Genomic DNA, 16,119 nt, shown 5'->3' with positions numbered 1-16,119 from the left:
CTAGCCCTTCTCCTCTCAGACCCCAAATACTTAAAGCCAGATCTTCACCCTTAGGCAATGTTAACATTTAATGTTCAGCTATAATCAGGATATAACTACAGTGGGAGGCCAGAGGATGGGAAGGTGTGTGTGTTTGTGTGTGTGTGTCTGTGTGTGTGTGTGTGTGTGTGTGTGTGTTAGAGGTACAGATAACAGTTAAGACACAAAATGAAAGTAGCTGCCTTGGCCGGCACAGTGGTTCACTCCTGTAATTCCGACACTTTGGGAGGCCAAGGCAGGAGGATTGCTTGAGGCTAGGAGTTTAAGACTAGCCTGGGCAACATGGTGAGACACTGTCTCTACAAAAAATAAAAAAAAAAAAGTGAAAAATTAGTTGGGCGTAGTGGCGTGCATTTGTAGTCCCAGATATTCAGGGGGCTGAGGGAGGAGGATGGGTTGAGACCAGAAGATGAAGTCTGCGGTGAGTCATGATCATGCCACTGCACTCCAGCCTGGGTGACAGAGCGAAACCCTGTCTCAAAACAAAACAAAACAAAATAAAAAACAAAAAAAACAAAAACTCAAGAGAGCTGCCTCTGTGAAGGGAGGCATGGGTGGCTGGTGGGAAGAGAAGGCACGGAATGCTATTTTTCATAATAAGCCTTGTAGAATATTTCATTCTTTAAAGAGTTGGCATGTACAACTTTGCTAAAAAATAAAAATAAGTGGGTTAACACACAACCGCCAGAAATAAAAAAATAAAAAACCCAAGGAAGAATGAACGACAGGAGGATAAAGAGATCTATGAACAAACAAGCTAAAGCAGAGAGGAAGAAAACAGAGGCCCAAAATTACTTGCTTATTACTGTTTTAATACTGCAATCTCAAGGGACTATACAATATAAAGCAGTCAACCAGTTTTGATGTCAACAAAAGCAAAAAACATAACCTATGTGTTTCTGGTTTAATAAAGTCAAGGGGATTTTTTTTCAGTAAATTATTTGTTTCTCACAAGTGGATGAAAATCATTTGTTCTTAGTATGCACTCCTTAAATGATAGTTTGAATCTGAGAAATAATTTACTGAAGAATTTTAAGTTTAAGGTAAAACTTCATCTTACTATCGACACGTTTTTGTTGAGTACCAATTGTGTGCAACCACCATGTGTAATCCTTGGAGAAGGAATATCAAAATGAACTATTCACAGATTCCCACTGCATAGAACTTAACAACACAACAAAAGAGATAAGCCATGTAATTGGATAACTGTGACATAGGATAAACAGTGTCAAGTGCTGTAGTAGAGATCCAGATAAGACACTATAGAAGTTCTGAGGAGGAGGAAGTTAATTCCAACTGGGAATATCAGACAGAGGCTTCCTGCAGGTGATGGCATTCATATGAAAGTTTGTTGTGTTTGTTCCTTTCGATTTATATCTTGTCCAGTTCTTTATGTGTTTTATTTAAGAAATGCAGACAAGACAAGAGAAGCAGTGGTCTACAGTTTCTCCAGGTTTCTTTGGTTGGCAAGGAGCCCTGACAGGCAGGCACCCGTCTGTGTGTCCATGGAAGCCCAGTGTGGCCCCCGTCTTGCTTTAAAAGCCCTTGCAGGACCCTCAAAGGCTGTAGTTATAACTTTTGAAGTAACATACTTTCCATAAGTACTAAAAATATTTTACTTGCCTTTGAATCCTGGAGTGTGTCAATAAGTTCTTCATTGTCCAGAATATTTCCTTCAGAGGTAAAGAGCATTCTCAGGATTTTCTCTTCGATAGTTTTCAACTGGTTTTTATCAGTGTTGATCCTCACGATGAGCTTAATTCTTTGTTCTTCCAACCTGGGTTTTTCAAGTCGCACCACATCACTAAAACCAAAGTTCAGATATCTAAATTATGTCTCTGCCAGTGCCTCAAAGTTGCTTCTATTTTTCTTTCTCTGTTTGTAATCGTTCTTATTCTGAATACTATTCAGCTGAGCATTAATGCTGATGGCCATATCTGAATGCACACCATGTCTCTTTTGCTGGGTTTACACAATAGCTTCTGACTCAACTACATGTCAATTCTGATCTTTTATCTTGTATTTTAGAGATGCATACTACTGAAGTTCCCACACCTTCTGCTCATCTCTTAGGAAGACCTGCTTAATACTTGATCTCTCTAATCATTCAATTTCTGTCTCTAACGCTTGCTTGTGCCAAGATGAAAATGGTGCCTGGAATATTTATGATGCCTTGAATATTCTTTCTGTACCAACATGGCAGATTCTGAAATCACACCACCTCCATGAAATGATTTTTGATTGCATATGAGAAAGGAGCCTTACCTCCAGCTTCACCCTTGTATAAACAGGTGAACTTATATCTCCCTTCACTTGTTCTCTCATAATTTGCTCCCAGTCTCCATTTGCAAGTTAATCTTTATTAAGTACTACTCTATGCAATGCACCCTGCTAAGAGTTTTACGTGGATTATCTATTAATCCTTTGAATGCCCCCCCCATAAGGTGGGCACTGTGGTTATCATCCCCAGCTTGCAGGTGAACAAACAGACTCTAGTGGGTCACTTCTTGAGATCACATGGCTATGAGAGGCCAAGCTGGGCTTGTACCTGGGTCTGCTGGCTCCAGAGCATGCACTGTTACTAGTATGCTGCCTTAAGTAACAACCCATTATTTACTTGTTATGTACATGCTGAATTCAGACACCTTGAAATTATTATATAAAGAATACTAAAAATCATAACCTCAAATTCAATTGTTTAAATAAGTTTTTCAGAAGACAGTAGTTTAAGGAATTTTTAAGATAAAGGTAAGCTCAGGAAACAGCTTGAGAGAAACATTAATCAAATTAATCAAGTTAAGAATCAAAAGAGCCTGCCAAGGAAGTCTGTGAGGTGAGTTACAGTTTCTGGAAATAGAAAGGAAGACAGAAGGAGGTGGACAGTCTGGGTGGCTGAATGGAATTCCTTGAAGTTGAAAAATGGCCTTGTGCTGCCCCAGAAGGACTAAGGCATTGTGGTTGGCATTTTCCAGGAGGCAGGGAGGTGAACTGTGGTGTTCAAAATTGAGAGGATCTGAGGAAAATTGCAATGAGAAATTGAGCACAATGTGTATCACTGCCTGTCCAGGAGCTCAGCAGAGCAGAGGGCAACTGAAATAGGTGACGGCCTGTCAGAACACAGGCAGACCCAGCTCCATCCTCACCCTGGCTAAGGGCTGTTAGCTTCCCTTTTCAATGCCATCAATCTAGGAGAAATAGCAGGGAGATACTGCACACCATGACTGAGTCCCAGCATTTCTCGTGTTCTTATCAGGGCACTTCTCCTTCTTGTCCCAGGCAGCCTAACATGCTGGGAGCTTAGTGACACAGCTGAGCTTAACTATGCACAGGAATAAACTGGTATGCAAAGTGTTCAGCCAAGTCCTTAGAATATATTCATAAAATATGTTGAAATAAACTTTAATTGGAAAGAAGTTAACCTAGTGGAAGGTAAGCAAGTTAGCAGCTGGCAGAATAATTCCTAAAACAAACTAGAGAAATAAGACTTAAGCTCATTAGTGACAACATAGGTAAGTCAGGACGATCTTGACTTGAATATAAGGGATATTTCTTTTGAACATGGGTCTAAATTATGTTTCTTTAGAGTGAATAAAAATACATACATAGGTATTCCTATATACATACATATGTGTATATATGTGTTGGTTAAATATATATATTAAATATAAAATTAATTTTGAATCAACATCAATGTTATTATTTTAACAAATATTTTTAAAGTTTGTCTCATGAACCTCTTGGCTAATTCTGATGATTAATATTAACAACTCATAATGCAATATTTGGGAAATAGGGATTTAATCACATACAGAATATACTAAGAAAGGGCATACATATATATATATACCCATATATATGTATATATATGGGTATATATGTATATATGTGTATATATATACACACATATATACATATATATACACACACATATATTTGAAGTGGACAGTTAAATACACTAAGAAAACACCTAAAAACCAGTGAAGCTGGAACAAATATATTTGGAGAAGCTGTTTTTTCACAGGTATGGACCAGTGCATTTCTAGGAACAACAGAAAGACTGACTTCGTTCACTTGCTCAGGATGGAAATCATAGTGAAGGGAAGAGGCAGGGCTGGGCTGCCAGCCTGGTTCAAACAGTGGGGGTGGGGAATTAAGGGTCTATCCTTGACGTCCTTGAGAAGACGGTAGACAAGATCAGCTGCTCTGAACAGCTATGGAAATGGTAAAGAACTTGGCCACTTACTTGTATTTTTTTTTGATTAAGGGTTCATGTGTAGTGCTCTTACACAGCAGAACATTGTCTTTGTCAATATTTCTAAACAAAATATTTAGGAAACCCACAATACCCCCTTCCCTCCCCTCAACTCCCTGTTTTTTTACCTTAACAACTGATCCTCCAGGCCTGATTTTGTTACAGTGAAATTGATAATGGTAACTTTAATGCATACCTGGAAGAGAAGCACAGAGTGCATAAAAATGCTTAAGTGCAAACTAATAAAATACCTTTCTTTATTAGAACACAGCTCATTACTACCCAGGCGGATGTATCTCAGGTCTAATTGCACACACACCTACCCCCACACATACTTTAGGTGTACTGTGGCTTATAAAATCCTCATATGTTTTTCCCTGCCAGTATGAGTAACAATCTTGTTCCTCAAACACCACAGTTACAGAATCCTACATTGTGTTTAATGGAAAGGTGAGCCAGCGAACGATTAAAAGCAGTATTTTGGAATTGATAGCTTGGGTTCAGATTTGAGCTGCACCCTTTAGTGACTGTGTCATCTTGGATGAGCCACTCATCTGTGCTGAGCTTTAGTTTCCGGTATTTAAAAATTTGGATAATTATAGTAAAAACTCATAGGGTAGCCGTGAGAACCAAATGAGGTAATAAAATCACTTAGTTACTTATGATACAGTGTGTCTTTGCTTGAAAGAAGCTATTATTGATAAACAAATAAAGTTTTATATGTTTTGTCTAATAACATTTTAATGAGAAATTATTACTATAATATATTCTGACATCACTCGATAAGTCAATAGCAAAAACCAGTAAGTATAACAAGAGTGTGTGAATGAACATATGGCATCGTACTTCAAGGATTTTGTAATATGGTAAATTACATATTGTAATTTTGTAATATTTACCATATTACAAAATCTTTGAAGTAGGATTGATCTCTTTTTAGAGATGATTGACGTGAGGTTCCTGGAAATGGGATAATTTGCCCCCTGTTACAGAGCTAGGCTTGGGTCTTGTGGGCAATACACCCTCTCAAAAGTTAAATAAGTGAGAAATCAAAGAGTGAAAGTTGGCACGTTGGTCACACTTCTTTTTTGGAGGTGGTATCCATCACCTCAAGCATTTATCATGTCTTTGAGTAAAAAACATTCTGATTATGCTGTTTTAGTTATTTTTAAATGTACAATACATTATTGTTGACTGTAGTCGCCCTGTTGCACTATTATATACTAAATCTTATTTAGTCTATCTAACTATATTTTTGTCCCCATTAACTATCCCTACCTTCCTGCTCCCCTCCATTCTCCTTCCCAGCCTCTGGTAATGTTGGTCACTTTTCTAAACTCTGAAATGGGACTTGGGACATGAGCCCTGGCAGTGGCTGTGTAATTAAACTCCTCGAGGCTGACAAGGAAAATCCTAACTTAAACTTTCAATGATATTTCCCCATCTTATTCAAGAAGTGTGTCAATTTCATTCAACCTGAACACATCTGGTGAAGACAGATAGCTATGAGCAATTCAACAGCTAAAATGAAAGTGACGCTCTTTGGAATGGTATATTTAAGGATATTGGGAGGGTTGTGGTGGTGAAGAAGTAAAGTTCTTGAGGTCAAGTTCCTTTCCTAGGTAAGAGCCTGCAGAGTGCACAGACATGCCTGGAGCTGGGGCAGCACCTGGGCATGTGAGGGGGATTGTGGCCAGGGAGACTCCCGTGGGAGCTTGGTGGGAGGGGCAATGGAGTCCCAGCTGTCTTCATTTCTGTTGCAACTACCTTGGACACTGTAGTACTAGAGTAGGGGTTCTTCTAGAGTCTTCTGAGTCTCAGGGACATATGTATGGAGTGGAGCTCACACAGCTCCACTCAAAGAATCTAAGAGCATGAGAAGGGGACAAGATACCCCCACCACCCATAACTCTAAGTGTAGACACTGGACCTCTAGATCATGATTCTCTAGTGTTGTCTTGTTCCTAGAGTTTTCAAATGGGTGACCTCTTTATTTGGGCACATATGCTGTGGGCATTTGCACATTTAAGTAATGACATCTCCTCCTCCCCCCAACCCCAGCCCCATGGACTCTCAACTAAGCTCTGATTCATTTACTAGTCATAATAACAGGGACAAAAATAGTCTTTGCTGATGGAGGAAAGAGAGAGTTTAAAAGGGGGATGCCCTATGTTTAGGAGGAGTGGCTGTGGACCAGGAGGGAGATGGCGAGGGCACTGGAGAGGTGCACAGTGGAGCGAGACAGAGCATCGGCCTGGGCCCCAGTGGGTAGGGGCTTGCAACCTAACTAGATGGTGATGACAAGGGTGATTGGAATCAGAATCAAAGCTCAGAAGGGAAGCAAGAATGGAAGATGGTGGAAGAAAGGGGAGTGTATAGGAGACAGGGGAGAATGGGGGAGCACTTTCCCTCCGGGTGGGAGCCCATCAAACTTCAGAGATTCATTACACCATGATAATCCAGTTAAGTTGAGAATTCCAGACCAGTAGTTCATACCTCAGGCAGATAGTGGGGATTTGGCATTTTGGTTGTCATATAGAACCTAAAGTTTTTGTCATAATCAATGTCTGAGTCTCCAAGACGGATGAGTAGTCGGCCACCACTGATAAAAATTTGTTTCAAAAGAATGGGTTCTAGAGCTGGATCCAAGGTTTCCTTAAGCTTAGAAATTAAAACAAAACAGGACAATACAAAAAGAAGCAATTAAAATGGATAGCATGAACTTCACAAAATTCCTTAGGCCTCAAAATGTACTGTGAATGAATAATTTTCCAGTGATCTGATGGATATTTATTAACATCCTCACACTACCTCTAACAGTACCTATTTTCCAGTAAGCATTTTATTAGCAGTCTAAGGAAATAAGAGCATCTGAAGGCAATATATCTATTTAGATCAATCTTACACACTATTCATTTCCATGAGAAGAAGAGAGAAACTGGGTAGATTAAGTCATTGTGGGTTGGACTTCAACAGGCTCCACACAAATGAAGATCTGTTCATTTTCATGGTTGTTTAAAACCAGGGATTGGCAAATGACAGCCTATAGGCCAAATCTGGCCCCATGTAGCCATTTTTCTATGACTCTTGAACTACGAATGGCTTTTACCTTTTTAAGGGTTGTAAAAACATACAAACAAAAAACACTAAACCAAAACAAAACAAGGAAGAATATGCACAGAGACTGCATGAGGCCTGCAAAAACTGAAACATTTACTCCCTGGCTCTCTACAGAAAAAGTCTATGAACCCCTATTCTACATGATAGTTATGCCTTTTTCCTCAAAGCAAATCTGACTGTTGGTAGGAACGTGGGCATGGAGACATTGCCCAGGGATCCCATCAGAAACATCTTTATGTCAGGACGTATGTGATGGGGGTCCCATGGCCCAGGGGCTTTCAAAATTTGACTGTCATCCATTTTAACAAATCTGTTCCACATTGTGACATGGTACCCACACATGTAAATTCTTCAAACAAAAGTTTATGAGATAAAATTTACCTTTATTCAATATAATTTTGAGTTTAAAAAATTTTATTTCATTTGAAAATGTTGATTGAGATGGTCTAAACTGATTTCATACTCATGAATGGGTGGAGACAAAGTTTGAATACACCACCCTAGCAAATGTAGAAAGCAGCTAGGTGTATAATGCTGATGACCCCAAGACACAGAGAGTTGGGGAGGACTGGTCAGAGTGTCCTGTTCCTGGCTGGGGCCCTGACAAGGGCCCACCCCCTCTCCCAAGAGCACTCTACTACAGTTAAAACACTCTTCTGTCCAGAGGTAGAACATCACAGAAAACCTTTTGTCTGCTGCCATGAAAGAGGAAAGTCCCTCAGGATCTCTCGTGTCATAAAGTAAACCTGAGTTCAGGAGTCCAGTTTGGAGCTAAAATACCTGTGCCAAAGTTTTCTGGAGACTTCACTCTCTCCTGTGACTGGGATCCATTACAGAATCACCCTTGTGTTGGTCAAGGCCAAGCTTGGTCACACTGAGGTCCCTTGTGCTCTTTGTGGCTTGAGTGGGGAATAGTGTAACCTGTGGATTTCCTAGGCAGGCAAGGTTGCTTGGATAGTTTATGCAACCCTTCCATGCCTCAGTTTCCTCATTGACAAAATGGAATAACAATAGTAACTATCTTGTGATGGGGCAGTGAGGATTAATGAGTTAAAATACATAAAATACTGAGAACAGAGTCTGGCATGGAGTGAACATGCAATAAATATTAGTTAATGCTAACATATTAATTACAATTCCTAGTCATCATGCAGGTGCTGCAGCTAAACTGCCCTGGTCCATGGTCTTTTTGAGCTTTCTTTCTTTCTGATGACGCAGTGATACTTCTAGGCACGGTTAAACTGAGACTCAACTCACAGTCCATGTTTTGGCTCGCTTGTTCTTTTATTACTTATAGGAAAATAAACCATGATCATTAACCAATCTCTTTTGTGCCCAGGGCCTTTGTGCTGTTCCCTTTGCTGGGGAAGCCCTTCTCTCTAAGCCTGGCATATGGCTGAGCTCATCACATAGGTCACAGCTTAAATTACTCCCTTTATCCACATATCTAAGTCAGACCAGCCTTGGTGGCCTATCCATTGGTGACTATCCCAGCCCCCTCTTTACCCTTTCAAACCTCTGATAACAAGTTTCTTCCCCTCCCTCTCTCATTTCTTCTCTCTTTCTTTCTCTGTTTACTGTCTCTGTCCCCACCTCAATTGTAAGCTATTGAGAACAGAAACCACATCTATATTTTTTGCCACTGGTTCCCAAATAATGTTTGAATGAGGGAACAATTTTAAATAACATCCATTCTTGCAATGATAGCCAAAGAAATGGAGCACCTAGACTCAACAAACAACACTGCCCTCCCTTCTTCTTCCTCTTCTTCTTTTTTTTTTTTTAACAAAAGTTAATTCTTATCTAATTCACTTAATCCAATTCTGACTTATGCCCAAGTAAAAAATAATGTTTGTATCCACTAGAATATTTTACTGGCTTCGCATCATTATTGTATGTACATAATCCTGACTGCACTACTGTTGTGAATTTTCAGCGCAGCTCACCATCAAGGGCCATAATGAGGCCTGTGAAACAGCAGTGTCAGGAAACAGAGGCCAGCCCTCTTAACACTAAAACAATGTCTGAAAGTCAACAGGTCCTCCCTCCCACCCCTCTTGCAATGTGATAATGTATTGTTTAAGGAGAAGAGGAACTGGTTTGACCAATTTGAAAATGGAGTTGACTGGTGTCTTTAGCATGATGGGGATGTGGCCTATATAGGATTCCAGATATGATTTGAAAGTTGGGAACTGACATGAGAAAAGGAAGTGAAAATCAAACCTCTTCCAGTAAGACAGGTAAACCAAGTCGGATTGAATTCTCGAGTATTCGTAAGAAATTACTATCTGTAAGCTTAATGATCTTTAAACCACTTTTGCTTTCCTTGTTCCTTATCCAACGGTTTGCCTGTTTGGAAAAGCACAGAGCAGAACATTTGCTTCAGAGCATAATAAATGGCTAGAAAGCGAAAGCTTTAGAAGAAAGTGTGGAAATGTTATTCAATCTAGAAACAAATTTGAAATATATAAACTGTACTCCCCTGTCCCCCGACAATAAAGACATCTTTTAAGCCCAATGTTTGGGACTCTTCTCTTTGTTTAGATGTGGAAGAAATAAAGAAAGAGTCATCTGGGAACAGAGTTCATGCTTATGGTATTCATGTTGGTCTCCCTTGCTTCCACAGTGGCTCCCTCTTCCAAACCCTATTTAGTACAACCTGATCCATGAACTTAGGGAGTCAGAAAATGGGATGCTGTCAACCGTAAATTCCAGTCAGGCTTGCCCTAAAATTTGATCATACCCTGACTTCACTCTCATTCCTCAGACCTTTTAGGAACAAGGACTACAGAAGAATGAAGATCTGTGGATTTCTGCCCTCACAGAAAACAAAAAATGAATGGTCATTCCCCTAAACAAAACCAATCAAAATCAAGTACGGGAGCACTTCAATTCTTCCTTTCTTACTTTCTCATCCACAAAATGAGGGACTTGGACTATAGGACTTTAACACTCTCTTCTAGGTCTAAATCTCCATGTATGTTAAATCTAAATCTCCAAGTACATTGAGGCCCACTTTTATAATTTTTAATAGCTAGCTCAACATTAAGCAGAACCAAAAGCCACTCTCTTAAGCATTTGCTACACACCTGATCTTGGGGATCAATCATCAAAGGCCATCTTCTGCCTTGAGTAACCAAAATGCCATTTTCTGTTGATATCAAGTCACGGGGCAGCCCATCAGTGTTCCACTGCCGTATCTCGTAGGGATCTCCAAGAATGTTAATGAGACTGAAGGAAGGATCGATTGGGATCTCCAGAGACTGACAGTCCTGGATCCAACACTCTATAAGCTGTAGAAGGGGGAAAGCTTACTTGAGTAGAGTCAGGAACACTCAGTAAACGAGGGCACATGCAAAATGTGGTGGGCAGTGGTAAGTCAGTGGCTGAAGAGCTAAGCCCTCCCAGTCTCCACAGATGTGCTTGCATCAGAGCATGGGACACAGGAAGTAGACCAAAATCAGGAGGCCTAGGTACTCTGACTATACCATTAGTTAGATGTGACTTTGGAAACATCATTCCCTCTATTTGGACCTCAGTTGTCTCATGTGTAAATGACTGGGTTGTCGCAGTGGTTTTCAACCAGGTTTGTATTTTCCCTGTTGGGAGAGTCTGAAAGCATATGGAGAAGTTTCGGGTTATCACAATGACTGAGGGTGTACAAGCAATCAGTAGATGAGGGATAGGGATGTTGGCATATGACCTCCTTCAATGAGTGGTGCAGTCATGCAGAAGAGAGAGCTGTCTGTCCCCAAAAAGCACAATTGGCCCCAGTGAGAAACATGGCACCCTAAGAGCTTAGAGCTCCTGGAGAGTCTATATGAGAGTATTATATCAGGTTTTATAACTGAAGGACAAGGGTAAACATTTTTAGGAAGACATTTCAAAAAAATGACTAAAATTCTTTCAAATAATTTCATTTCCTGGAAAATGCATGTAGATGAAACTTTTATTCTCTGATAAATGAAAGGCTCTTTCTTTCTTTCTCTCTTTCTTTCTTCCTCTCCTCTATCTCCCTCTCTTTCCTTCCTTCCTTCCTTCTTTCCTTCCTTCCTCCTTCCTTCCCTCTTTCTTTCCTTCCTTCCTCCTTCCTTCCTTCTTTCTTTTTCTTTCTCTTTCTTTCTTTCCCTTCCTTCCTCCCTCCCTCCCTCCCCCCCCCCTTTCTCTCTTTTTCTCTTTCTCTCTTTCTTTCTTCAGAGTTTTGCTCTTGCTGCTCAGGCTGGAGTGCAATGGCGCAATCTCCACTCACGGCAACCTCCGCTTCCTGGGTTCAGGCAATTTTCCAGCCTCGGCCTCCCCAGTAGCTAGGATCACAGGCACCTGCCCCTACGCCCAGCTAATTTTTGTATTTTTTTTTTTTAGTAGAGACGAGGTTTCACAGTGTTGGCCAGGCTGCTCTTGAACTCCTGACCTCAGGTGATCCACCCGCCTTGGCCTCCCAAAGTGCTGGGATTATAGGCATGAGCCACCGCACCCAGCTGAGGCTTTCTTTCTTATAGAGATAAAAGCCTAAGGAAGCACAGATTCCTCCTGGTCCTGCCTGCTCCTTTCTTTTGACTGGCCCTCTTGCAGTTTCACCAATTGAGAACATCTCATCCAGGCTGGCTTTACATGCCACTTGTGATCATAAGGGTAGGGGACTCACTGTCTCTTTTCCTTCCCCCAGGTTTTTGAGCTGTGTAAATGATGAATAGCTTTCTAAGACAGGAGAAGGAAAGGGAGGAACGTGTTAAGGAAAGCCTAGGGGTAGACCATCACTGGCTTATTGGGGAGTGAAGCGCTGTGAAATATATAAAGAAATTCCACCATGAAGAACCTCTACAGTGGAGAGCCTCCATCTGAACTCAGAAAAATGAACCACCCCTGGCTCCAGTTTCAGCTGCTTCTTACCCCTCCTTACAGAAAGCAGGGTTACTCACTGACTGCCTGTACTGGGCTGTGAAAGCCCCATAGTAGGCCACACAAGCTGCTGCTATGAACACGTTCCCAGTGATATTTGATATTTCTTCCTCAAACTTCTGTATGCTTTCTTCCCATCGAACCTGCTCATCTTCTAATGCTGCTGTCAGCTTTCCAGCACGTACTAGACGTGCTTTTGTCAGGGCCATGGTCTTTGCTAGAAAAATTTTAAGAAAATCAGATTATACTATTAAATATTTTCATAAAGTATTAAAAGCTTATTTACCTGTTTCTTTTTATAGCAGAATAGCATTATTTAGCTAATGATGTCAATACATCTCTATGAAACCTTACACCAATTCAGCATTAATTCCCATTTCAGAACCAAGTCTAAGTTTGCCTTTTCCTTATCGAAAACTCTTTTTTGATACTCCATTACTCTGGTTGAAGACAGTGCTTTCTGTATCCTTGTAGTATTTAGCTTCTGGATCAAATTCACATACTGTTTTGTGTTTTAACGTAACATGCTCCAGTAAGGCTTGTTCAGGTACAGGATGTTGAATATATAAAACACATGAGTTCTTATTTGATCCTAGGAGGCTAATGAAAATACATTCTACACATTGGATAAAAGCTGAAACCTGATTGCCAAAAACTTCTTCCTACTTCTGAAAATCAGGCATTTCCTGGCCAATGTAAATTTTATGAGTTACTTACCCAGGCTTTCTTTTTCATTTACACCTTTGTCATATTCATCTTGTAAGGCCTGTATTTGATCTTCTACTTGTCTTAGTAATGCTTGCTTTTCTCTCAGGGTAGCCATGGTAATGTCAAGTTCAGCCTAATAAAATCAAGCAACTGTTTAAGAACAGGGCCAAAAAAAGGCTGAATTTGCCCATTAATAATACAGATCTAAAAAAAATTTTATATATGTTCCTCTTTTCATGTCCAAAAAGACTTTGATGTGATACATAAAGTTAAAACAAATATAAATTAGAGTAAAATACAAGAACAGAAGTAAATGAAACAAAACAAAATCAATAATAAAGCCCAACAAAATAAATCATAATAGAGAAACAGGTGTACTGAGCATTTGGGATGAATTAGGTATCATAATGGATTATTAATTTTAAATGATGCAACAAATTAAATATTCATGCCATAGTGGAAACTAATATTTCCTAACTAGTTCTCCACATCAGAGGTCGGCACACTATGGCCTGCAGGTCAAATCTAGCCTGCTGCCTGTTTTTGTACAGTATGCAAGCTAAGAATGGTTTTTACATTTTTAAATAATTAGAAAAAAATCTTTAAAAGAATAATATTTCATGAAATGTGATAACTGTGTGAAATTTGAACTCCAGAGTCAATAAATAAAGTTATATTGGAACATAGTCATGCTTATTCATCTATGTATTGTCAATGACTGTTTCTGTGCTGCAACAGCAGAGCTGAGTGCTCGCTGCAGAGACCATATAGCCTGCAATGCATAAAATATTTATTCTCTGGGTCTTCATGGAAAAAGTTTGCCAACCCCTGCTCTATAGCCACAGTTCTTTCAGTAACCTGCTCCACTAAATGATCATTCTTTTTTCTTCTTGGGAAGATGAAGGGCCTCACATCCAATGACAGGGTTAAGCTGGTTCTAAAACCTCAGATGACACCATCAAGCACGGAAGTATTTAGCAAACGGAAATACAGACCATCAGATGGTTGAGCTAAAAAGTACCTTAAAGAAAGAGATTAATTCCTTTTTTTTCAGATGAATATACTGAGGAACTCATGTTCCTCTTATGCTGAAAGAAGGCTGATTTCAGAGGCAATTTCTGAAAAAAAATTGCCAGCTCTTGTTTAAAACAAAAGCTAATTTCCAAGAGTTTTGTCACTGTCTATATTGCGTAGGACCACAGTAACATTATACAGAGAACTTGAAATGACTGGCGATCATGGCCTTCAATTCTATAAAATATCACAATACAGAAAATGTACCTGTGCGGCGCGGAGCTTTTGTCTTTTTGGTTCGACGACCTTGACCACTCGAGAGTACAAATCCATAGCTCTTACCCACATGCACATAGATTTACATGCTTTGGACACTTTCTCCACTTTTTCAGGCACAAAATCAGGATTATTAATATACTTTTGAAGCTTTGCCAATATCTGAGGCTTTATGTTCTCCTTATCATATTCTAAAAGCCTTTTTAGAAAGTTAGAGTCACCAAGAAGTTGCTTTGCTGATGGCCAATCAGGCCTGAAAGACAGACATGATATATTAATGGCACTGAAATGAAGTAATATAAGAACAAAAGAATGTATTTCTTTGAGAACATTATGATATTATCCCAATAAGTGGATAATTTTAATCTTGGTACTATAATTTTAGTAATTGGTAGTTAGGTGCACCACAATTAATTCAGGGGGCGAAAAGAAAATGGGTGACTAAGTTTCCATGCGACCCAGCTTTGGTAGAGAAAGAATTACAAAATCACAGTTTTAGAAATGTAAGGCATTATAGAAACAATAGTTTTATTTTTAAAACGCCGCAGGCACTCACATTTTACCTCCTTTATCATAGTTCCCACCCTTAAAATCACCTGCCAGGACACTACAATTGCTTTCTAACTGGGCTTTATGTCTCTTTGAACTTTGTTCTTCTGAACTTTTGCCAGATTGATCTTCCTACCATGAAAATCTGATTAGATAAAAAATGTTCAACGATTCTCAGTCCCTTCTGCCCACAGCTCTCTATCTGTGCTCTGCAGAGCTCTCTGGGTCCTACCGAGGTACCAGTTTAAGGGTCAGTGGGAACCTCTCCACCCTGTCTCCTGGAAGCCTGGTGGTGATGTGGTGCTCTGAGCCCTTTGCCTAGTTTTACACAGAAAGGTTCATTACAACATAATTTTATTGAAAAAAAGTTTGTATCACTAAAGAAAGTTTGAAAACTACATATCTCCAAGATGAAATCTGAAGTGTTTAGTGCAGCTTTTAAGACCTTTCGTGATGCAATCACTGGCCTCCTGCCCAGCCCCATCCCACTCCAAGAACATTAAAGCTCATTCCTGAGCTCGCCTATGGTCCCACTATCCAACTGAGCAGTGTTTTCCAAAAAACCTACTTGCACATCCCAGCTGGGCTTAGGCACTGTTTTCTCAGCACTCCCAATACTACACAACTCTCACATTGCAATGAAATTATTAGTTTTCATGTCTGTCTTCCCACTAGCCTGTGTATATCTTGCAGAGAAAAACATATCTTCCACCATCTAGTACAAAATAGATGTTGGGGAAGAAAATGCTCCTTGAATCAATTTGTTGAATGACCAACTGAAGCAATGAGAAGGTGGAGAAGGGAATGAATATATACATTACCATGGAGGAAAACAGTAAAGAACTCTTACCAGGTATCATGGCAATACATGACTCTGAATTACTCACTTGGCATTCAAAAGAATGGAGATTGCTTCCATTACTGTCATGACCAAATCTGGGGGCTTTGTAAAAACTCTGATTTCAGATATATCTGCCTTATCTAAGGAATCCAGTGCTTTATTGGCAGCATCTAGTGCAGGTAGTGCCTCGTCAAGATCTCTTTGAGCATCATCAGCTATTGCTTGGGTTTCTTCAGCTTTGACTTTTGCTGTTGCTTCATCCTCCTGCACAGTGTTACGGACCTAACCATTGAAACATGACTGCTTAAGTGGCCTCATTATTTGAATTTTAATATTCAAAACAAAGCCAATAATAGTGAGTCATATTTGCCCTTTGGATTAGAATAATGATGAAAGGGAATTAGCTAGATTGCATTTTATG

At 39.8% G+C, this 16,119-nt stretch overlaps 1 protein-coding gene across 12 annotated transcripts in view; it reads right to left on the bottom strand.

The window, feature by feature from the left end:
• DNAH6 (dynein axonemal heavy chain 6) overlaps positions 1-16,119 on the bottom strand; it is a 360,018-nt gene that overhangs the window by 99,543 nt on the left and 244,356 nt on the right. For all 12 annotated transcript variants that reach the window (XM_011532650.4, XM_011532649.3, XM_006711956.3 and 9 more), the window contains 9 exons: positions 15,745-15,980; positions 14,300-14,561; positions 13,028-13,151; positions 12,331-12,527; positions 10,501-10,704; positions 9,635-9,760; positions 6,788-6,952; positions 4,420-4,487; positions 1,663-1,843 (listed from right to left, as the gene is read on the bottom strand). In XM_011532650.4, the coding sequence (XP_011530952.1) occupies positions 1,663-1,843; positions 4,420-4,487; positions 6,788-6,952; positions 9,635-9,760; positions 10,501-10,704; positions 12,331-12,527; positions 13,028-13,151; positions 14,300-14,561; positions 15,745-15,980 (1,563 nt within the window). The remainder of the gene's footprint in view (positions 1-1,662; positions 1,844-4,419; positions 4,488-6,787; positions 6,953-9,634; positions 9,761-10,500; positions 10,705-12,330; positions 12,528-13,027; positions 13,152-14,299; positions 14,562-15,744; positions 15,981-16,119) is intronic.

The sequence above is a fragment of the Homo sapiens genome, chromosome 2 (genome assembly GCF_000001405.40).
Source record: "Homo sapiens chromosome 2, GRCh38.p14 Primary Assembly".
Taxonomy (NCBI): domain Eukaryota; kingdom Metazoa; phylum Chordata; class Mammalia; order Primates; family Hominidae; genus Homo; species Homo sapiens.
This window is presented reverse-complemented; position numbering and strand designations above follow the sequence as displayed.